General features: G+C 35.1%; 1 protein-coding gene across 4 annotated transcripts in view; it reads left to right on the plus strand.

The window, feature by feature from the left end:
* ADAM18 (ADAM metallopeptidase domain 18) overlaps positions 1-25523 on the plus strand; it is a 145498-nt gene that overhangs the window by 12848 nt on the left and 107127 nt on the right. For 2 of the 4 annotated variants that reach the window (NM_014237.3, NM_001320313.2), the window contains exons 3-6: positions 8892-8947; positions 11627-11705; positions 12070-12146; positions 13114-13291. In NM_014237.3, the coding sequence (NP_055052.1) occupies positions 8892-8947; positions 11627-11705; positions 12070-12146; positions 13114-13291 (390 nt within the window). Of the gene's footprint in view, positions 1-8891; positions 8948-11626; positions 11706-12069; positions 12147-13113; positions 14162-25523 lie in introns of those variants that run through there. The other 2 variants (NM_001190956.2, NR_135201.2) reach the window with 2 other exon arrangements.

Here is a 25523-nt window from a genome sequence, read left to right on the forward strand (position 1 = left end):
TTTGGTCTGTTATTAATTTTAAGTCAATTTTGGTGAACTATTATGTTATGTGTCTAGATTTATTTATTTTTTTACGTTTGGATATCCAGTTGTCCCAACACCATTTGTTGAAAAGACTGTCTTTACTTCATTGTATTTCCTATGCTTTTTTGTCAAAGGTCAGTTTACTTTATTTACATAGATCAATTTCTGTGCTCTTTTTTCTGTTCCATTATTCTATTTGTTTATTCTTTAGCCAATACCACAATCTGCTAATTACTGTAGCTTTATAGTTCAGTCTTGACATCAGGTAGTGTCAGTCCTCCAACTTTGTATTTCTCTTTTAGTATTGTGTTGTGTTGCCTGTTCTTGGTCTTTTGCCTCTCCACATAAACTGTAGAATTTGTTTGTCGATATTTGCAAAATAACTAAGTGGAATTTTGATTGGAACTATCTTGAATCTATTAATCAAGTTGGAAATAACTAATGTCTTAATGATATTTAGTGTTGCTATCCATAACATGGAATATTTCACTTAGTTCTTATTTAATTTTTTCATCAATTTTGAAGTTTTTCTCATGTAGATGTTGTACATATTTTGCTAGATTTGTATCTAAATATTTTGAGTTTTGGATGCTAATGTAAATGGCATTGTTTTTACTTCACATTCCCCTCCTTCATTGCTAGTATGTAGGAAAGCAATTGACTTTTGTATGTTTACCTTCTACCCTGCAACCTTGCTGTAATTGTTTTTTGGTTCCAGAAGGTTTTTTCATCAATCCTCTCAGAATTTCTACATAGACAATCTTTTCATCTATGAACAAAGACAGTTTCATTTCTTTTTTCCCAATCTAGTATACCTTTTCTTATTGCATTGGCTAGGACTGGTAGTGTGATGTTGAAAGGAGTAGCTATCTGTGCCTTGATCCTGATCTTAGCATGAAAGGGTCTAGTTTTTCAAAACCTATGTATGATGTTAGCCCTAGGTTTTTTTAAATAGATGTTCTTTATTAAGGTTAGAACATGGCCTGCTATTCTTAGTTTGCTGAAAATTTTTATCGCCATCGTTATTATTATTCAAAGTGGGTGTTGGCCAGGCATGGTGGCTCACACCTGTAATTCTAGCACTTTGAAAGGCCAAGGCAGGTGGATCATCTGAGGCTAGGAGTTCGAGACCTGCCTGGCCAACATGGCAAAACCTGGTCTCTACTAAAAATATGAAAATTAACAGGATGTGGTGGTGCATGCCTGTGATCCCAGCTACTCGGGAGGCTGAGGAAGGAGAGTCACTTGAACCTGGGAGGCAGATGTTGCCGTGAGCTGTGATCATGCCACTGCACTCTAGCTTTGGTGGCAGAGCAAGACTCCGTCTCAAAAAAAAAAAAAAACAACAAAAAAAAGAAAAGGGTGTTGGATTTTTTCTTTTTTCTTTTTTGAGAGAGAGTCTTGCTTTCTCACCCAGGCTGGAGTGCCGTGGTGCGATCCCAGCTCACTGCAACCATCACCTCCTGGGTTCAAGTGATTATCCTGCCCCAGCCTCCTGAGTAGCTGGGATCACAGGAACCCACCAACACGCCCGGCTAATGTTGTATTTTTAGTGGAGACAGGGTTTCGCCATGTTGGCCAGGCTGGTCTCAAACTCCTGACCTCTGGTGATCCACTCACCTCGGCTTCCCAAAGCGCTAGGATTACATGCATGAGCCACTGCGCCAGGCTGGATTTTTTCAAATGCCTTTTCCATGTCTATTGAAATGATCTCATGTGATTCTTTTCCTTTAGACAATGTGATGATTACATGAATTGATTTTCAAGTGTTGCGTTACCTTTGCACATCTAGGGTAAACCTCACTTGGTTGTAATGTATAAAAAAATTTGTATAAAATATGTAAATAGTTTTTATAATGTATAAAAATAATTATTTTATACACTGTTGAATAAGATTTGCTAATATTTTGTGGAGGATTTTTCATCTAGCTTTATAGAAAAAGAAGTATTCCCTGTGCTTCTATCTCTTGAAAGAGATTGTAGAAAATTAGTATACATTATTTCTTAAATGTTTAGTAGAATTTACCAGTGAATCCATCTGGGCCTGGTGCTTCCTGTTGTGGAAGGTTAATTATCGATTCAATGTCTTTAATAGATGTATCTCAATGGGTTTATATATGTATATACACACACACACATTTATTTATGTCTTTGTTAATTTCACTAATCATTTTTCTGAAGCTTTCTAGACACAGATATTGCTCATATATTTTATAACTTTTAAAAAATGTCATGTTTTTGATGCTTGTGTAAATTCCATTTTTATTGCATATTCTTATTATCCATTGTTGTTATGTAGAACTAAATTAAATTTTAAATATTGAGCTTCCATCCTTCATATTATTAAATTCACGCATTAGTTCTAGCAACTTTTTTCATATATTACTTAGAATTTTTTCTGTGTATTATCATGTGTTTTGAAGATTTAAAAAATTTGTGTTTTTTTTTTTAAATTCTGCCTACCAGTTATTCCTTTTCCTTGTGGTATTGCACTGGCTAGAACCTCCAGTACCATATTCAATAAAAAGTGTGAAATAAATTGTCAATAAATATTTATTTCTTGAGATTGCAGAGAGGATGCATTCGATTATTCACCATTAAGTCTGACATTAGCTGTAGATTTTGTTCAATGCCTTTTAATAATTTAAGAAAGTTTTCATCTGTTCTTGGTTATTTCTTGCTAATAAAAACATATAAATTTGTAAATTTTTTTAAAGCACTGTTAAAGAAAGGTCTGTAAACTTTCTTTTAATCACAGTTTTTATTTTTCTGCAGGCCACAAAGTTTTATGGATTATGGCTTTAATCATCATTTGTTTAAAATTATTTCTAAATTCTTATAATTGCTTCTTTGACTTAGGTAATATTTAGAAGTGAGTTATTTAATATCTAAAAACTTGAGAAGTTGTCTAGATATTTCTGATACTGATTTATATTTTAATTTGATTGGATCCAGGTAACTTGCTTTCAGTGGCTTAAATATTTTTAGAGTATTGAAGCTTGGCATAAAATAAGGTATATCTTAGTAATTGTTCTTTGTGGATTTAAAAAATGTGTTTATTTCATCTTGGTGGATTGTGTGGTCTATAAATGTAAATTATTTCAAGTTGATTGATAGTGTTTAATATTCTAGGTCTTTGCTAATTTTCTGTCACTAATGCTATTTCTGTGGATAACTGCTCTCAGTTTGAGAAACAGTTTTTGACTTGCTAACGAGCCTTAATAAGACTGAATGCTTAATCAGGGCACCAGGTTACCCTGGGACCTGAGCTGCCCATGAGGAACTGGGTGTTATCTGACCTGCAAAGCTTATGGTGGGACATGCACAACAGGATTTCACAATCAATTGGAAGGGGTATAAACATGACTGGGGTTTTGAATGTGTCTGAAGGCAGTATGAAGTTACATGATGAAGTGGCCCAAATGCCCACAGTCTCAATTCCTATTTGTATTAGTCTGTTCTCACATTGCTATAAAGAAATAACTAAGACTGGATAATTTTTAAAGAAAAGAGGTTTAATTGGCTCACCGTTGGGCAGGTTGTACAGGAAGCATGGCTGGGGAGGCCTCAGGAAACATTCAGTCATGGTGGAAGGGGAAGGGGAAGTAGGCATGCTTTACATGGCCAGAGCAGGAGGAAGAGAGAGGAGGAGGAGATGCTGCACACTTTTAAACAACCAAATCTCGCGATAACTATCACAAGAACAGCACCAAAAGGGAAATCTGCCTTTCTGATCTAATCACCTCCCACCATGCCCCACCTCCAACATTGGAGATTACAATTTGATATGAGATTTGAGTGGGGACACAGACCCAAAACATATCACTGCTGCACTGTCTTCTGTCTTCCAGCCCAATGTGGCAGGGGCCAGGTGGTGGCACTTTGCTCTCAGTGAAGTGTTTACATCTCCATTTATAAGTAATACTTGTTTCCTCCACATTTGAGTTTTTCATGCATTTTACAGCTTTATGCACATTTAGATTTATATTGCCTTCTTGAGGAATTGACACTTTTATCATTATGAAATGTTTCTGCTTATTCCTAATATTATTTCTTATTATCGTGGTTTGCCTTCTTAGTTTTTAATGTACACATTTAGTTTATTTATGATTAGCATTTGGATGATATATTTCTCTTTGTTCTCTTAATCAACCCATGTCTCTGTGGGCATATAATTGGGTCTTGGTTTTTTATCCAATCTCACATTACCTGTCTTTTAGAAAAATGTATTGTACAATAACGTACATAAGATAAAATATACCACTGTAACTATTTTTAAGTATATGATTCAATGCTGTTAATTAAATTCACACTGTTATGCAACAAATCTCTAGAATTTTTTTATATTGGAAAACTGAATCTGTATACCCATTAAATACTAATTTCCTTGATGGCCTTCCCCAGCCCTTTCCAACCATCTTTCTACTTTTTGTTTCCATGATTTTGACTACATTAGATATTTTATATTAGTGCAAACATAAATGATGTATTTCATGTCTGGCTTATTTCAGTTAGTATAGTGTCCTCAAGATTCAACCTTGTTTTAGCATGTAGTAGGATTTCCTTCTTTTTTAATGCTGCATAATAATCTGTTGCATTTTCCACATTTTATTCGTCTATTCGTTACTGATGGGCATTTGGGTTGCTTCCACCTCTTGGCTATTGTTAATTATGATACCAAGAACATTGGTGTGCAGATAACCTCTTCAAGATACTGCTTTGAATTGTTTTGGATGCATACCCCACAGTGAGGTTTTAAATCATATAATAATTCTATATTTTATATGATTCTATTTTTATGTGATTTTTTGGATGAACCTCTCTAGTATTTTTTGTAATGGTTGCATCATTTTAAATTTCCACCAGCACAAGGATTCCAATTACTCTACGTACACACCAACATTTGCTGTTGCTTGTTCTTTTGATAGAAGCCATGCTATAGAGTTTAAGGTTTTGACTTGCATTACTCTTATGATTTTATAGGTGACCATGTCTCATGTAATAGACTGAAAGTCACAGTTCCACCCTTACTGGAACTGCCTTGAATCCAGATGAGAACTTTAGGGTCATTTCTGCCACACTCTTGTGTACCTTCTTGACCTTCAATCTCTTGCAAAATCCCTCTTCTGGTCTAAGATTTTAAAAATATACCGTTATTTTCCATCTGTATATCTTCTTTGTAAGATTCAGACATTTTGTTCATTTTTAAATTGGGTTGTTTCTTGTTTTTGAGTTTCAAAAGCTTTTTATGTACTCTAGTTAAGTCTTTTATGAGATATGTGATTTCCAAATATTTTTCCCTGTCTATAGCTTTTTTTCATTCTTTTAATAATGTCTTTCTTTGAGCTAGTATTTTCACAAAAATGAAGTCCAACTTGTATTTTTTTTCTCCTGTATGGATTATGCTTTTGCTATCATATCTAAAAACTCATCATCAACACCAGGAATACAGAGGTTTTTGTCCTGTGTTTCATTTTAGATATTCTGTGGTTTTGTGTATTACCTTTAAGTCTACAATTTCTTTCCACACTTGTGCAAGGTGTGATGTCTGTATTGAGATTCATCTTTTTGCATGTGGACATCCAATTGTTCTATCTTGCACACTTGTGCAAGGTGTGATGTCTGTATTGAGATTCGTCTTTTTGCATGTGGACATCCAATTGTTCTATCACCGTCAATTGAAATGACGACCCTTTCTCCATTGAACTGCCTTTGAATCTTTTTCAAAAATCAGTTGAAGGTCTATTTCTGGGCTCTTTTTTCTATTCCATTTTTCTGTGCGTCCATTTTGTTTTGCCAATATCATTCTGTCTTGATTATGATAGCTTTAGAGGAAAATCTTGAAATTAGATAAGGTAATTTCTCCAAACTTGGTTCTTTCTTCTCAAAATTTTGGTGGCTATTCTGTGTCCCTCACTACAGGCATACCTTATTTTATTGTGCTTTACTTAATTGCAATTCACACCTGTGTCAAGCAAGTTACCTGTGCCACTTGTACAACAGCATGTGCTCGTTTTGTATCTGTTTGCCTTTTTTAGCAATAAATCATTTTTTAACTAAGGTTGAACATTTATAGACATAATTTGCTTTACACATTCAGTGGACTACAGTATAGTGTAAACATAACTTTTATATGCACTGGGAAACCAAAAAATATACATCACTTGCTTCATTGAAATACTTGCTTTATTGCAATGGTTTGGAAATAAACCTGCAACATCTCTGAGGTAAGCCTATATTGTTAGTTTTGTGTTTTAAACTCTCTATATGACCCTTGATGAGCACATTAAATGATAATACTTATGTGTTCAATTTTGAAGTAGTAGTTTTTAACTATTAATATTTCTTTCACTTTATTTTTGCCTTCTTAAATTCTTATTAGTTGATATTGGAAGTCCTGGAAATAGCTTCTCTGTTTCTTATTTATTCTTTCAGATCTTTCACTTTTAAAATATTTTTGTGTTTAATTCACAGAAACTTTCTAGTTTTGATGTTCAACCTCACTAATTATCTTTCAGATATAGCCAGACTCTTATTCAGGATAATGATTTACTTAAAAATCATCAGTTACGTGGTCATTTATATCATCTATAATTGATTCATTTTTATGATTTTCTGTCTTTTCTTCAGTAAGAACTCTCTGCTCTTCGCCACATGCTGGCATTGTCACACAGTGGTAAAGCACATTGCTTCTCTGCCAGGCTCTTACACTCATTTGATGTATCATCTTTGGAGAGTTACTTAATCTCTGTTTCTTGAAATGAAAAATAGTTTTTCTGAGGATAAAAAATTACAAAAAAACATACGAAGTGCTTCGGACCATACTAGGCATTTGATAAGCCCTCATTACGCATTAGAAAATTATAGAACTAGTTTTTTGTTACACTCAATCCCTACTCCTTATAATGTCTATTTTTATTTTTCTAAAGATATTAAATATACTTATATTAAGGTCCTGTTTTATTCACACATGATACAGTTTTGTATATGTGTTCGCTCCAAATCTCATGTTGAAATGTGGTTCTCAGTGTTGGAGGTGAGGTCTGGTGAGAGGTGTTTGGGTCATGGGGGTGGATCCCTCATGGCTTGGTGCTGTCCTTGCAATGGTGAGTGAGTTCTCGTGAGATCTGGTCATGTAAAAGTGTGTGGCACTTCCCCCTACCCCCACTCTCCTCCTTGCTTCTGCTTTTGCCATGTGCAAGTTCCTGCTTCACCTTCTGCCATGAGTAAAAACTCTCTGAGGCCTCCCCAGAAGCCAAGCAGATGTTGGTCCCATGCCTGTAGAGCCTGCAGAACGGTGAGCCAACTAAACCTCTTTTCTTTATAAACTACCCAGTCTCAGGTAGTTCTTTATAGGAATGCAAGAACAGCCTAATACAACACACTTTATGGTTTTCTCAGGAGTGATTTGATAAATTACTCCTTTTATTTGTTGAATTTGTTATTGTCCCTTCTTGGTGTAGATGTACCTCAGAAGTTAGATAGATTTTTATTGTGGACTTGCCATTGGAGTGGAGATTGTGTCAGACCTTTTGCTGCCTTTGTTTTGCATTCAGTCTGGGAGAATGCATTGGATTTAACTTAGTAGCTTACATTGGTTTAAGGGAATAATGGGATGAGATTTGCCTCCAGTCTGGGTGATGAGCAGATAGCCTTCTGAGCCTGTGTGCTCCTTTTTCTTTCTGCCATTTCCAGTCATAGGCAGTATTGCCCTGTTTCTCTCTACCCAATTCACAGACTGTTCCAGCTTAAAATTAGAGACTTCTCTTGACATTTGTTTGCCTTGGAAGAGAAATGGTGGGTTTAGTAGGATAGACCTCTGTCTGCATCTGTAGACTTAGTCCAGTTACGCCCCCCTGAAGAATTTAATGGCATCACCTGCTGTTTCTGGATGCCATCACAATAGGATCATGAGCATTGTTAGTACCCAATTTGTGATAGTTTATAACTCTTGTCCCTGGAGGTATAGTCTTCCTCACTAGCTTCTTGTCTGCTTTCAGTCTCTTAGCTCTTTTTCCACAGTTTTATATGTTGAGAGAGAGATGCTAAATGTCTCTAAATAGGTATGACTGCACATATGTATGTATATATTAAAATTTGTTACTGGTTCGTTATATTTTGTGTGGCATGTGTGCCTGCAGCCATGTCTAATTTATCTTGACTAAAAATGCAAGTGTTTTTCTAAATAGAAGCAGTTAATATAGTGTTAATAATGCTAAAATGCTAAATATATATATTTTTTTAAAAATGTACTTTTCATTTTTATTTTATTTTATTTTTATTTATAGGTTTTTGGGGAGCAGGTGGTATTTGGTTACATGAGTAAGTTCTTTAGTGGTGATTTGTGAGATTTTGTTGCACCCATCACCCGAGCAGTATACACTGAACCCAATTCATAGCCTTTTATCCTTCAGCCCCTTCCTACCCTTTCCCCCAAGTCCCCAAATTCCATTGTGTCATTCTTATGCCTTTGCATCCATAGCTTAGTTCCCACTTATGAGTGAGAACATGTGATGTTTGGTTTTCTATTCTTGAGTTACTTCACTTAGAATAATGGTCTCCAAACTCACCCAGGTCACTGCAAATGCCATTAATTCCTTTCTTTTTATGGCTGAGTAGTATTCCATCATGTATATATACCACAGTTCCCCTTCACTTTTATTTTAAAAAGTCACCCCACACATTAAATTGGTCACATTGTTCCTGAATTTATTAAGATATTAAATTCTTACTATTTAGAATAATAAATTCTAAAGATTATGTTCATTTTTAATAGATAGACTCTTTTTATTAACTTGGATGAATATTGTTTTATTTTATATATTTCTGGTTTCCTTCACAATCTTTACTGATGTGTTTTATTTTAGATGATTTACATCATTACAATTGATGGACAACCTTACACTCTACATCTCGGAAAACAGTAAGATATGATTTTTTTTTCATTAAGGAAAAGGGAAAGCTTTAAGTTTAGATTTTACAGCCTTAAAGTTTTTGTGCAGTATTTAAATTCAGGAATGCTGTATAATGTAGACTTGTTTTATCAATCAACTTCCCAATTTAGGATTCATTAGGTTTTGAATATCAGATCTATAGAGCTCTTTCATTTTAATTTTCGCTTGATATTTTCAAATTATGAAATAAACTACATACTTGTAAAATCTCAAATTGCATATAAGCCGTTGAACCCAAGAACAGCAAGTTATATATTAAGTATATCTGGTGTGAAATCAAACATAGTTATGTCACTGGTGTCCGTGTGAAGAGACCACCAAACAGGCTTTGTGTGAGCAATAAAGCTTTTTAATCACCTGGGGGCAGGCGGGCTGAGTCCGAACAGAGAGTCAGCAAAGGGAGATAGGGGTGGGGATTATAGGATTTGGGTAGGTAGTGGAAAATTACAGTCAAAGGGGGTTGTTCTCTGGCGGGCAGGGGCGGGGAACACAAGGTGCTCAGTGGGGGAACTTCTGAGCCAGGAGAAGGAATTTCACAAGGAAATGTCATCAGTTAAGGCAGGAACTGGCCATTTTCACTTCTTTTGTGATTCTTCATTTGCTTCAGGCCATCTGGATGTATACGACAAGTTACACATCAAGTGATTATGGTGGGAAATTCAACTAGTGACACAATTTTTATGATATGCTGATTACAAGTGTGTCTATTTTTAACAAGTTTACTGAACCTACTTTACATGTAAAATTCTCTAAAGTATAAAGTTCAATAATTTTAATGAATTTGTGCACTGTTGCCACCATCAAATATAAATCAGTTTTAGAACATTCTTTCCCCACGTAAGAGCCCTCATGTTTTCTCAGTTAGCCTCTTTCTCACTCACAACTCCAAGCAACAATCTACTGTTTGTATCTTGATTTGTATTTTCTCAACATTTTATAAAAATAAAGTAGCCTCTTCTCTGTCTGCATCTTCAAACATATGTATTTATAGCAACTGTCCCTTGTCTGCCTGCTTCTTTGTAATTGAACAAGGCTAGAGGAAATTATTCTCACTTAATTCATGACTACCCTACTTAATTCACGTTTACTTTTCTTCCTCTACAACTCCACAAGTGTTTTCTGATAGAATCATCAGTGGTCCTCATGTTTTTGAATGCTCTGTTTGTGTTTTAGTCTTAATTTTTCTTAACCAGTTGGCAGCATTGATCATAGTTGACCAGTGTCTCCCCCGTAAAATACTTTCTTCATTTGGCTTCCAGAATACCACAGACTCCTGCTCCTGATTTTACTCTGAAGTACTCTGGGTACTTCAGTGCTCTCTCACTCTCTCTCTGTCTCTCCTTTCTCTATTTTTTTTTTTTTAATTCTTTCTCATCTCTCGAATCTTAGAGTACTCCATAGTATGGTTTCTGCATTCTGGTTTTTTTTTTTCCCCCTAGCTATATTCAATCATCTGGTTGTTTAATTCTTGTGACTTTAAATACCATCCACATGTTGGTTGCTCCCAAATTAACATCTCTACCTTATTCCTCTTAAATAAATGCCATATTCACTTATCTGAGTACTTAGTTGATAACCAAGTATTTACTAGAATCCTCATAGGTAACATGTCCAAATGGAATTCTGACTTTCTTCTCAATTTGTCTTTCTCACAGTCATGTCAGGAATTGGCAAATATATAAGTTTTTCAGGAAAAAAAAACATGTAAAAAGTCGGAGTCATACTTGACATCTTTCTGTCGTTTTCCCCTATTTCCAGTGGATTATAAACCTCTGTATTCAAAATATATCTATATCTATATCTAAACCCTACAAAATATATCCAGAATTAGACCTACCCCACTGATGCTATCTTAGTTCAAAGCACCATCATGTCTTACATCTAAATGTCTCCCTGTTTCTTCTGCTTGTTTGTCCTGCAGATTATTCTCAACACAGTGCTGATTTTATTAAAACATTGGTCTGATGCTGTCTTTATCTGCTCAAACCCTCCAATGCGTCTCATCTCTGTGACACTGTCTCTTACTATAGTCTGTCTTCATCACTCCACACTCCAGTCATATTGCCCCCTAGTTGTTCCTTGTTTGTACAAAGCATATTTCTGCTTGAGGGTCCTTGCATTTTCTATTAATTCTTTCTAGAATAACACTTCTGTGAAAATTCATGTGGTTTATTCCTCAGGTATTTAATCATCTATTCAGAGAGGTTTTCCATGCCACCCTATCTACATTTTGTAACCACCCTCCCCAGGCCTTATCTATTGTCATCTAATTGCTAGTACTATGTGCCCCTGGCTGTCACAAAGACTAAGGCTTTTTGTCTCTTGCCTAACTCTGAATCCCAGCACCTACATGAGGGTCCGTCAGATAGTGAACACTCAGTACATTTGTTGAACGTCATCATACACAGCTATACATACATATGTCTGATGCAGAGGAATCCCAGAGTCTGTCCCAGTGCTAAGTCTAAACTCTTTGATTCACCAGTTCTATGAATTTCAACTGTTATGCCTCACTAAAATCACTCAATTAAATCATGCCATTATATAAAGCTAATTAAATCGTGTTATATAAAATGTATGTAATATTTGTTTTTAACATTATATTAAGATTATGATTCATACTTTTTTATTATTTCTTGGTTTTTTAGATCATTCTTACCCCAGAACTTTTTGGTTTATACATATAATGAAACTGGATCTTTGCATTCTGTGTCTCCATATTTTATGGTAAAGTAAGATACCTTATTTTTTTTGTTAAAGTGGTTATATTATTACCATTAGAATGTGTTTCATGTTGACAGTTTAATACAAATGTTTTATCCTTACTGACATGTTACTGACTTTTGTACATAGAAATGGCATGTGATAGAGATGAAACCCAGCTGCAAGCGAATACTCACAGGGACTCTCTTGTGCCTGTGGTGCAAAATAAAGAGAATTGTCACAAATCTTTTTTTTTCTGAAAATATGCATTAATAATTAATGATCTTATTATTAAATCTTTTAATATTTTGAATCTTCTGACATGTTTGACAATACATTTTTTATTCACAACGAATTTATATACTTGCCTTTCTATACTGTTTTTCAGATGCATTGCCATTACCAAGGATATGCTGCCGAATTTCCAAATTCATTTGTGACACTCAGTATATGTTCTGGTCTCAGGTAATAGCACCTTATAAGAAATCTATAGATGGAGAACTTAAGATAGTCTTTAAAACAAAACTTAGTGACTAGCAGACACAAATCATGGAAGTTTAAGGGAAATCAAAATGGAAAGTTTTCTTTCTAACAGCTTTATTCTATTTGTATTAATGTTAATACTTAGACCTAAGGGCCTATTCCCATGAAATCAATCCAGGGTTATCGTGGAAAATGGAATAGTTTCATGGAAGAAAACTTTAAAATATCTCCTTAAGTATGATTGTTGCATTCTGCATCTGTTTTCTCAAATAGTTATGGAAAATGGCATTAGTTAGTTATATAAATATAATAGGAAAATATAGTATGGTCTCAGCTTAGTACCAGATATAAAACAACTAGTTAAGAAGATCCCTCAGGAATAAAGGATAGGGATAAGTGATTTCTGTTAGTGATGCTGGGAGTCTCACTTATGATAAGTTCATCAGGAAAAAAAGGATCCGGAGCAGAGAAAAAATGCTCCCTCTAACTTTCCTTTGGTTTCAATTGCCTGATTTCCAGAATTGAGTCACATCAACTCAGAAACTTGGCATTCTCTGAATGTGGTTTTTATAGATAACAACCTCATTAGATATATAGTCTACATACATGCCGTCCCTTATCAAACCTCTGGAAGAACAGGAACGTTTTTCCTGGAATTCTCAACAAATATATTTGTTTGTGGCAAATTTGGCCTTAATTAATGTGATTGCCTTACAAAAATGTTCTTTATTGCATTTAGATCTTTAAAATTTAAGCAAAACGAAGCCAGATATGGTGGCTCTTACTAATGATAAACTGCCCCCCCAAAAAATAATGGAAAAAGAAAATGGGCTTAAAATGTGTTCTTTAGTATAGTTTTTTAATTTCTTATGCCATTTCAGATTATCATTTTGAAGGGATCATTTGTGAGATTTTTATAACTATTTTCTTATGCCTTCTAAATTTTCAGGGGATTTCTCCAGTTTGAAAATATCAGTTATGGAATTGAACCAGTAGAATCTTCAGCAAGATTTGAGCATATAATTTATCAAATGAAAAATAATGATCCAAATGTATCCATTTTAGCAGTAAATTACAGTCATATTTGGCAGAAAGACCAGCCCTACAAAGTTCCTTTAAACTCACAGGTGACTGTCATCATTCTGATGTTATGACATACTAGAACATTGCCTGTGTAGTTTTCTTGTAAATCATGAAAGGAATTTAGTTAGCTGTTGAGTAGGAATATTAAATTTTATGTATTTTTCTACCTTTAAATAAAACATTGAAACTTCATCTAAAATATTTGGAAAGTTACATATTTCAAGCTTAATATTTTATGATGTATTATGTAACATTAATTTTTATATTTTTTTCAAACAAAATGATACTATTGAAAAAGTTTAGAAATGCAGAAAGAACAGAGTCACTGTTATTCTAGTACCTTGGTAAAATTACTTTTAATATTTTGTTATATATCTTACATACTACCTGAACATATCTTTCTAAAATGCACAGCCATTTGCATGTTGCCAGATGCTCTTAATTTGCTGGTAGACTAGGTATAGAATTCTTGCTGGCAGTTTCTTTCTTTCAGCACTTTGAATATTTCAATCCATCACCATGTGGCCTCTGTTTTTTCTGATAAAAATATTCTATTATTCTTATTGGGAATTCCTTGGACAAAATGAGTTGCTTCTCTTTTGTTTCTTTTGAGATTCTTCCTTTGCCTTTGTCTTATGGCAGTGTGCTTATCATGTTTCTATGAATGGATCTCTTTGTGTTTACCATACTTGGAGCTCAAAGCACTTCTTGGGTCTGTAAATGGATGTGTTTTGAAATTAAATTAGCTTGTGTGAATCCTGAAAAAAAAAATCCCATGAAGCTATGAAACCAACTATCTGTATGGTTCCTAGAGACTTCACACTTTTATTCTACTTTAAAATTTGTCTCGATTTTGTAGTTCATTATTGCCAAAAGTATTTACTGGGATAAATAAAAAAAGCATTCTTCTCGGGTTTCTGGTTTCAGGTAAGAGATATGGAAAGCTGGAAACAGCATTGCTTCCACATATACATCAGAGTAAAAGTTGGACAAACTGCACATTAATTATTTTTATGGAATACATCAAAAAGCTGAGGTTGCAGATTAAATCATTATCCAACATGTGGAGAAAAAAAAAAGTGCCTATAGGTTGTGATGGGAACCAAATGTATAAAAAATAGAGTTTTTCTTTTTCCTTTTCTTGTGACCACAATTAATTTGGTATCAGTTCAAAATAACCTGCTAAGACTATATGATGTTCTTTCTAAGCCTCATGATAACCACAAAGCAAACATTTTTAACAGACACACTAAAAGTGGAAAGCAAGAAATCAAAACATACTTGATAGAGAAAAAATCACTTAACCACAAAGGAAGATAGCAAGACATGAAAAAAATGAAGAAGTTTATACAAAACAACTAGAAAACAAATAAGAATATGGTAATACCAACTTCTTACCCATAAACAATTACCTTGAATGTAAATGAATTATACTATCCAGCTAAAAGAAATAATGTGGCTTAATTAGTGAAAAAAAAAAAGGGAGGGAGGAGAGCAAAGATGGCCAACTGGACACAGCCAGGAAGGTTATCTCCCACCGGAAAACCAGACAAAGAAGATCAACACATTCTGAGCAAATCTTTGGAAGGAAGGAATTGAGGGTGGGTGGAGGGAGGATGTAGACCCTGTGCTGAATGGGGAGGAAGCTGGGGACCCTGCACAGGGCTGTTAAGAACTGGGACTCATCCCTGGCTCCCAGCAGCTCCTAGGGAAGAGGTGAGTTAAATGTTAGAGGAGTGGCCCACTCTCACTATAAAAACCTCCAGAATTCTAGCTGCAGGAGACCCCATGACCCCCACAGACACTTGATCTGGCAGAGAGAGCTGCTTGGAGAAGTGGCAGGGACAGGACCCCAGCCTGTGCAGAACCCAGGGGGTTTGGTTCAGGAAGAGCTGCAGTGGAGTAAAGCCAGGAGCGCTCATACCCCAAGGCTCTTCACACTCCTCTAGGTGGCTTTGGTTTTTGTTGATTGTTGGACCTGGACAAAACAAGCCTGCCTTGCCTGTGGGACAAGGCCATTCTGATTTGAGCACCCTACTGTCTGACATATTCTTCTGGGGTTCCTCCTTGGCTACATTCATTTGCAGCACAACCTCAGATGCCCAACCTGAATGCTTCCCTGTTGCTGCTGCCATAGCTCCTTCATCAGCAGACCCTGCCTAACCATTGGAGAGATTTAGCAAATGGGCTCTTGCCAACATGCATGTGCTAATAGCCTCCTCCCACCACTTTGTTGGTGCACACTCACCCATAGCCTCCCCCATTATTTTTCTGGTATGTGTGCATGGACCTTGCTGTTGCAGCCTCACCCCTGCCAGTACATGTACACATGCAGACCCCATAGAGCTACCACCGCTAGAACACACCTGGATGCGTGGACTCCACCATGTCTCCCTGTTGCTGCTGCCATGCATGCATGCATCGAACCCAACATGCCGCTACCACCACAGGTACATACATGCATGCAGACCCTGCTACACCACTGTCCAGCCACTGCTGGTCTGCATGCAGGAGTGCAGACCCTGCTGCCATCACCCTGACAGAGCACTTTTGACAGCACCCCCAAATGGAATATTGTTGCCAGCATATCAGGAATAACTTGGCCTCTCAAGCACAGCAGGTACTTAACCTTGATGGGCCAAAGAACAAAGCCATGGGCCTGATTTCAGCCCCCCAGGGTTAGAGCATGCAGCCCAGGAGTACTAAACCAAGTATGAGCCCTCTAAAATCATCCAGAAACAAAGTCGGTTGACTGAACCCAACTTACAAACATGGTCAAACTCTCAAAGCATCAAAGAATATAAAAGCAAAAAGCCCCACCCAAAGGACAAAAACTTTAAACAAACATCAACCCACACAGATCAGGAAGAACCAGCACAAGAACTCTGGCAACTCAGAAGCCAGAGTGTCTTCCTACCTACAAATGACTGTACTGTATCTCTGTCAATGGTTCTTAACCAAGCTGAAACGACTGAAATTACATACTTAGAATTCAGAATCTGGATGGCAATAAAGATCATCAAGATTTAGGAGAAAGTTGAAACCCAATCTAAGGAATCTAAAGAATCCAATTAAACAATGAGGAAGTGAAAGAGGATATAGCCATTTAAAGAAAGAATCAAACTGCTATAATAAAGCTGAAAAATTCACTAGAAGAGTTTCATAGTACAATCAGAAGTATTAACAACAGAATAGACAAAACTAAAGAAATAATTTCAGAGCTCAAAAACTGTTTTGTCAAATCAATTCAGTCAGACAAAAATAAAGAAAAAATGCAAAAGAATGAATAAAACCTCTGAGAAATATGGGATTATGTAAAGAGAACGAACCTATCATTGTCATCCCTGAAATGGAGTGAAAGAGAGAGAGCAAGCAACTTGGAAAACATATTTGAGGATATTTTTCACAAAATATTTCCAAACTTTACTAGAAAGGTTATCATCCAAATTTAGGAAATTCAGAGAACCCCAGGAAAATGCTATACGAGACAACCATCCCAAGACACATAGTCATCAGATTCTCCAAACTCAATGTGAAAGAAAAAATATTGCAAATAGAGACAAGGGACAGGCCACCTACAAAGAACACCCCATTAGGTGAAGAGTAGATTTCTCAGCAAAACCCTGTGAGCCAGAAGAGATTGAGAGCCTATATTCAGCATTCTTAAAGAAAATAAATTTCAACCAAGAATTAAATATCCATCCAAACTAAACTTCATAAGCAAAGAAGAAATAAAATCCTTTTCAGACAAGCAAATGCAGAGAGAATTTGTTCCACCAGACCCTGCTTTACAAGAGGCCCTTAAGGGAATGCTAAACATGGAAACAAAAGACCATACAGGGCACAAAAGAACACTAAGTACATAGACAGTTGACACTATAGAGAAACTACACAATCAAATCTTCTTAACAGCCAGCTAACAACACAATAACAGGATCAAATCTGCACATATCAATATTAACTTTGAATGTAAAGGGGAAAAACACCCCACATAAAAGCATGGCAGGTTGCATGAAGAAGCAAGACCCAACTGTATAATTTCTTCAAGGGACCCATTTCACATTCAGTGACACCCATAGATTCAAAGCAAGAGATGGAGAAAAATCTACCAAGCAAACTGAAAACACAAAACACAGGGGTTGCTATTCTAATTTCAGATGGAATAAACTATAAACCAACAACAATAAAAATGGACAAAGAGCACTGCATAGTGATAAAGGGTTCATATCAACAAGAAGATTTAACTATCCTAAACAGATTTTCACTTAACACTGGCACGCCCAGATTCATAAAGCAAGTTCTTGGAGACCTACAAAGAGATGTAGATAACTGTGCAATAACAGTAGGAGACTTCAACACTCCACTGACAGCATTAGACAAAATATTAAGGCAGAAAACTAACAAAAATATCTGGGACCTAAACTCAGCATTTGACCAAATGGACCTAACATACATCTACAAAACACTCCACCCTAAGAACAGAATATACATTTTTCTCATGTGCACATGGCATGTACTCTAAAATCAACCACATGCTCGACCATAATGCAATTCTCAACAAATTAAAAAAAAAAAAACATACGGACCACACTTTTTGGAACACAGTACAATAAAGATAGAAGTTCACACCAAGAAGATCTCTAAAAACCATACAATTACATGAAAAGTCAGCAACTTACTCCTGAATGACTTTTGGATAAATGATGAAATTAAGGCAGAAATCAAGAAATTCTTTTAAACCAATGAAAACAAAGATACAACATACCAGAATCTCATTCAGTAGCAGGTTGTTTAACAAAATCCCACATGAGCATCTCAGCAGATACAGAAAAGACTTTCAATAAAATTCAATATCCTGTTATGTAAAGAACCCTTAACAAACTAGGTATTGAAGGAACATACTTCAAAATAATGAGTCATCTATGACAAACCCACAGTAAATATACTCAACAGGCAAAAGCTGGAAGCATTCCTCTTAAGAACCAGAACAAGACAAGCATGCCCACACTCACCACTCCCATTCAACATAGTACTAGAAGACCTCACCAGAGCAATCACGTAAGAGAAAGAAAAGGCATTCAAATAGGAAGAGAAGAGGTCAATCTCTCTCTCTTCATGGATGATATGATTTTATACCTTGAAAACCCTGTAGTCTCTGCCCAAAGGCTCTTAGATGTAGCAAACAACTTCAGCAAAGTTTCAGGATACAAAATCAATGTAAAAAAAATAAGTAGCACTTGTATAAGCTAATAACAACCAAACTGAGGGGCAAATCAAGAACACAATCTCATTCACATTAGCCACAAAAAAAATATCTAGGAATATAGATAATCAGAGAGGTGAAAGATCTCTATAATGAGAATCACAAAACATTGCTGAAAGAAATCAGGTGACAGAAACAAATGGGGAAAATATTTTATGCCCATGGTTAGGAAGGAAGGATCAATATTGTTAAAATGGGCCAGCCACAGTGGCTCATGCCTGTAATCTCAGCACTTTGGGAGGCTGAGGCAGGCAGATGATCTGTTGTCAGGAGTTTGAGACCAGCCTGGCCAACATGGTGAAACCTTGTCTCTACAAAAAAAAAATTAGTCAAGAGTGGTGGCGTGCACGTGTATTCCCATGTATTCCCAGTTACTGGAAAGGCTGAGGCAGGAGAATCACTTGAACCCAGGAAGCTGAGGTTGCAGTGAGCCGAGATGGCACTACTGCACTCCAGCTTGGGTGACAGAACAAGACTCCTTCTCAAAAAGAAAAAAAATTGTTAAAATGACAGTGCATCCCAAAACAATTTACAGATTCAATGCTATTCCTATCAAACAACCAACAACGTTTTTCACGCAATTAGACAAAACTATTCTAAAATTCATATGGGACCAAAAAAAGAGCCTGAATAGCCAAAGGAATTCTGAGCTAAAAGAACAAAGCTGCAATCATCACATTATCCAACTTCTAACTAGACTTTAAGGAGGTAACCAAAACAGCAGGGTACTGGTAGAAAAACAGAAACATAGACCAAATGGAACAGGTTAGAACCCAGAAATAAAGCTGCACATCTACAACCATCTTATCTTCAACAGCATTAACAATAACAAACAACTGGGAAAATAATTTCTATTCAATAAATGTGCTGGGATAACTGGCTAGTCACATGCAAAAGATTGAAGATGAACCCCTTCCTTTCACAATATACAAAAATCAAATCAAGATGTATTAAAGACTTAAAAGTAAAAGCTAAAACTATAAAAACTCCAAAATAAAACCTAAGAAATATCACTCTGAACATAGGCCGTAGCAAAGATTTTATGATGAAGATACCAAAAGCAATTGTAACAAAACCAAAAATTGACAATTGGGACCTAATTAAACTGAAAAGCTTCTGCACAACAAAAGAAACAATCAACAGAGTAAACAGACAACCTACAGAATGGGAGAAAACATTCACAAAGTATGAATCCAGCAAATGTCTAATATCTAAAATTTACAAGAAAAAAAAGAATCCTATTTAAAAATGAACAAAGGACATGAACAAGCACATTTCAAGAGAAAACATACATGCAGCCAACAAGCATATGAAAAAATGCTCATCATCAGTAATCATTAGAGAAATACAAATCATAACCACAATGAGATACCATTCCACACCAGTTAGAATGGCTATTACTAAAAAGAAAAAGTTACAGATACTCACGAGGCTGTGGAGAAAAGGGAACACTTGTGCACTGCTGATGAGAATGTAAATTAGTTCAGGCACTGTGGAAAGCAGATTGGAAATTTCTCAGAGAACATGGAACTATCATTCGACCCAGCAACTCCATTATTGGGTATATACCCAAAGGAATAAAAATCATTCCACCATAAAAACACATGCACACATATACTTATCATAGTACTATTCACAGTAGCAAAGACATAGTATCAATCTAGATGTCCATCAGTGATGGAATGCACAATGAAAATCTGTTACATATGCACCATGGAATACTACACAGCCATAAAGAATACTGAAATTATGTTCTGTGTAGCAATATGAATGGACTTGGAGGCCATTATTCTAAGCAAAGTAATGCAGAAATAGTAACTCAAATACCACATGTTCTCACTGATAAGTGGGAGGTAAACATCGAGTACACATAGACACAAAGAAGGGAACAATAGACACTGGGCCTACTTGAGAATGTAGGGTGGGTGTAGGGTGGGGACCTATTGGGTACAATGCTCATTACCTGGGTGACACATTGATCTGTACATTAAACCCCTGTGACATGCAATTTACCTATGTATCAAACCAGCACTTCTATCCCTCCAAACCTAAAATAAAAATTGGAAATGAATAAAGTTAATAAAACCAGAAACCCTAAAACAAGACCTATTTGACGCCTCCAAAGACTCACTTTATCTGTAAGTATACACATAGACTGAAAGTAAATGGATGAAAAGTATATATTTAATACAATAAAAACCAAAATAAATTAGTATTGTGGGATCTGGCCAGCAGCCCGCAATGCAACGAGGCTCTCTCTTTGTTCCCAGGTGGATCGGCAGGTTGAGAAATAATAGACACACACAAGCTAGTGAAAACTGGGTCCAGGGGGGTCACCGCCTTCTGGTCCTGTGGTGCCCAACAATGCATTCGATATACCAGCATTTATTATTAAGTTTAGTAAGGGTGGGGGTAGGTTAGTGAGGGATTTAGGGTCATTTGATTGTGAGGTGAGATGGTCACATGGGGATGAACTAATTCTTTAACATAACATCTGTATGCAGAAGTACAGTATACAGAGATAAGAATTTACAATATAGTGTGTGCATCAGTAATTTCTAACAGAGCCTTAAACAGAAACACAGTCTTTCCATAACCTGTGATTAGCAAGATATTAATCAGCAGTAACAGTTGCAGCAAAAGCTGGTTACAAACAATCCATAGAAACACGACGTGAAGCTAGACAACCGGTTAGACCAGAAATTCTCAGAAGGGAGTATGCCTTAACCCTAAAGAGGCCTAGAAGAGCCGTGGCAAGATGAGGGCATTTATAGCCCTTTCTTATCCATATGGACAGGTGCCCCCCATGTGTCCGTTTATAGACTCCCGCAAGGGTCGCATTCCATTCCCAGAGCTATGAACATCTGCTTTTCTGGGATAGGAATCTTGGTGATGTGAAACCTCCCTGACTGCACGTTCATTCATAGGCTCTCTGCAGGGGGAAGCACATCACGCGCTGTTGGCTCATTCTGGCAGTCCAACTTGGCATTGTCTTTGCACAATCCTGCATACAACTTGGTGTTTACAATAATCAGGAGCATTTCATCTTTTATCGAGCAATAGTTTCAGGGGGTCTCCCTACAAATTAGGAGTAGCTATACTTAGATAAAAATATTCTCCAAGGAAAAAAGTATAAAAAAAGACCAACAAGGGCATTATATAATGACAAAGTGGTCAATACAAGAAAAGGATAAAACAATCACAAATATCTTTGCACCCAATATTGTAGCACCTAAATAGATAAAGCAAACATTAATAGATCTAAAGGAAAAGATAGACACATATACAATAATAGGGGATTTCAACACCTCACTTTCAGTATAGGAGGAAACATGCAGGTATAAAATCAACAAAGAAATACCACGTTTTAACTCTACTCAAGATAAAAGCGACCGAATGGACATTTACAGGAGATCTGATCCAACAACTTCAGAATTCACATGTTTTTCAACTGCTTATGGAGCATTCTCCAGGATAAGTCATATTCTGTGACACAAAACAAGTCTTAACAAAGTTTTTAAAAATTGAAATTGTATTGAATAGTTTTTCTAACTATAATGGGATAAAACTAGAAATCAATTATAAGAGAAACATTGGAAACTGTACAAATACATGGAAATTAAAAGCAACATGCTCCACATAAAAAAACAGTATCATTTCTATATGCCAATAATAACCTATCTGATAAAGAATTCAAGAAAACAATCCCATTTATAATACCTACAAAAATGAAATAACTATTAGTAAGTTTTTATAAGGAGATTGAAGATCTCCACATGAAAACTATAAAACATGGATGAAAGAAATTGAAATAGACACAGTAAATGGAAAGATATTTAATGTTCATGAATTGGAATAATTAATATTGTTAAAATGTTCATATTACTTAAAGAGACTTACAGATTCAATGCAATTTCTGTCAAAATTCTAATACCAGTCTTTACAGAAATAGAAAAAAGTCAATCCTAAAATGTATATGCAACAAGAGAACACCCCAAATATCTAAAGCAATCTTGAGCAAAAAGAGGAAAATATACTATAAAGCTATAGTAACTGAAACAGCATGGTATTGGCATTAAAACAGACACATAGACCAATGAAATAATATAGGGAGCCCAGAAACAGAACTATGCATTTACAGCCATCCTTTTTTATTTTTTATTTTTTGACAATGTTGCCAAGAACTCACAACAGAGAAAGGACAGTCTCTTCAATATATGGTGCTGGGAAAACTGAATATTCACACACAAAAGAGTGAAAGTAAATTCCTATCTCTGAACTTATACAAAAAGATCAAAATGTATTAAAGATTTAAGCTTAAAACCCCAGACCATGAAATTATTAGATGAAAAGCCTAAACGAAACACTATATGACATAGGTCTGAGCAAAGATTTTTTTAGACAGGACCTCAAAAGCACATGCAACAAAAGCAAAAAAAAAAAAAAAAACAAAAAAAAATCACAAAACAAAACAAAGAAAAAATGTAAAAAAAAACCAACAACCAACCAACCAAACAAAAACACTACAACAAACTAAAAAGCTTTTGCTTGCAAATGGGCAAGATATTTGAACAGGTAAACATACTTTCTCAAAAGAACACATACAAGTAGCCAACTGTTATATTAAAAATATAATAATTTATATATTATATATGTAATATATAATATATATATTATATAACAATTTATATATTAAAATATATATAACATATATTTATATATTGTTATATATAAAAATATAACTATATATTAAAAAAGAAATGAAATCCTATCAGCAGCAACAGCATAGATGAACTGATTAACTGGAGGCCTTTATCTTAAATGAGACAAGTCAGACACAGAAAGATAAACACTGGATGTAGTTACTTATAAATGGGATATAAATACTGTGCACACAGAGATGTAGAGTGTGGAATGATAGACAATAGAGATTTGGATGGGTGAGGAGGTGAGAGGGGTAGATAGTGAGAGAATATTTAATGGATACAATATACATTATTTGGGTGATGGATACCCTAAAAGCTCTGAGTTCACCACTACACAATCTATGCATAGAACAAAATTATGTACATTTATATGCCAAAAAGACAAGCTACAGACCTGGAAAATGTGATAATGGACTGATATCTAGACTATATAAATAACTCAAAAGCCAACATTTAAAAAATACAATTAAAGAATAGCCAAAACATTAAGAGGCATTTCACTGAAAAGGACATAGACATGGCAAAAACAAAATGAAACAAAATAAAAATACATTAAAATATTTACATCATCACTACCCATTAGAAAAATGCAAATTAAGAACATCATCAGATACTATTACATACTTAATAGAGCAGCTGAGTTTTTTAAATGTGACATGAACACATGCATGACAAAATCACACACACACACACACACACACACACACACACACACACACACACACACTGTACCCATGTCAATGTCCTGGTTTTGATAAGTTTATGACCACTGGGGAAAACTGGATGAATGACACATGAGTTCCCTGATCTTTGGCATTTTCTAGTGTTTCAATTTTTTTTTATTTTTAAGTATAAAATATGGAAAATAAAAATAATCTATTAATATAATAATAATTTTGGAAGTTAATTTTATTGCAGGTAACATCCAATAATATTGTGAATATTATTTTAATTTATTTAAATGCTCAGATACTAAAGATATTTATTTTTGTTTTGAGACTAACAAGAATATAAAGTCACAATAGTAATGACATGGAATCAACCTAAATGCCCATCAGTAATACACTGGATAAAGAAAATATGGTACATATACACCATGGAATACTATGCAGCCATACAAAAGAATGAGATCATGTAATTGCAGGGATATGGATGGAGCTGGAAGCTGTTATCCTCATCAAACTAAAGCAGGAACAGAAAACCAAACACTGAATGTTCTTTTATAAGTGGGAGCTAAATGATGAGAACACATGGACACATGTGGGGAAACAACACACACTGGGTTCTGTCAGAGGGTGGAGGATGAGAAGAGGAAGAGGATCAGGAAGAAAAGCTAATGGATGCTGGCCTTAATACTTGGGTGATGGGATGATCTGAGCAGCAAACCACCATGGCACATGTTTACCTATGTAACAGACCTGCATGTCCTGTACATGTACCCCTGAACTTAAAATAAAAGTAGGAGATTTTTAAAAAGTGTATATATACATATATATTTAATTTCCAACTTTTATTTTTAACTACTTCTACTTAAAAGTTATTGACAAAACTGGTTGTTTTTCTAAAAACAAGTACATCAGCACACAAGGCAAAATTATATTCTCATTGATTAAAAACAGCATAAGTAAAATTATATGTAATATATTATGTATATTATATACATAATTTTACATATATAATATACATAATACATATATATAATGGCCTCTAGAAAGATTCCATTGAAAATGTTCACAATTTTAAATGTGTTAACCATAAAATGCAATTTTGAAAAAATCATAGGCAATGTAATGAAAATATTAAGATGATATTGAAAAATATATTGCTCTAAAATATCAGAAATATAGCATTAGAAGGAGAGACACCTAAGAAAATAAAGCACATGAGAATCTATCAAGAGCAATTATTTTACTTATGCAATTTTTAATCATTGAGAATTTGTCTTGTGTGCTGTTATATTTGTTTAGAAAAACATCTAGTTTTGTCAATAACTTGTAAGTAGTTTTAGTTATATCAAAATAATACAATCAAACTTATTAATTTTTCATTTCATGTCTTATTTAATGCTATTTACATCATGCTTGTCATATTTTACAGATACGTAACTGAGGTTATAATAAGTTACATAACTTAATAGAAGGCACAGAGATAAAAGATTTAGAGGAGTCATACACAACACACACTGATGTTTGTAAACCTCTAAGACTTTCTAGTTTTCCAGGTTACCAGTCTGTATATATTTATATATATATTTTTTCGTTTCAGTTGCTTTTTGGTATGAGGGGACAGTTACATGGATGAATTGTA

Source organism: Homo sapiens, chromosome 8 (genome assembly GCF_000001405.40).
Source record: "Homo sapiens chromosome 8, GRCh38.p14 Primary Assembly".
NCBI lineage: Eukaryota > Metazoa > Chordata > Mammalia > Primates > Hominidae > Homo > Homo sapiens.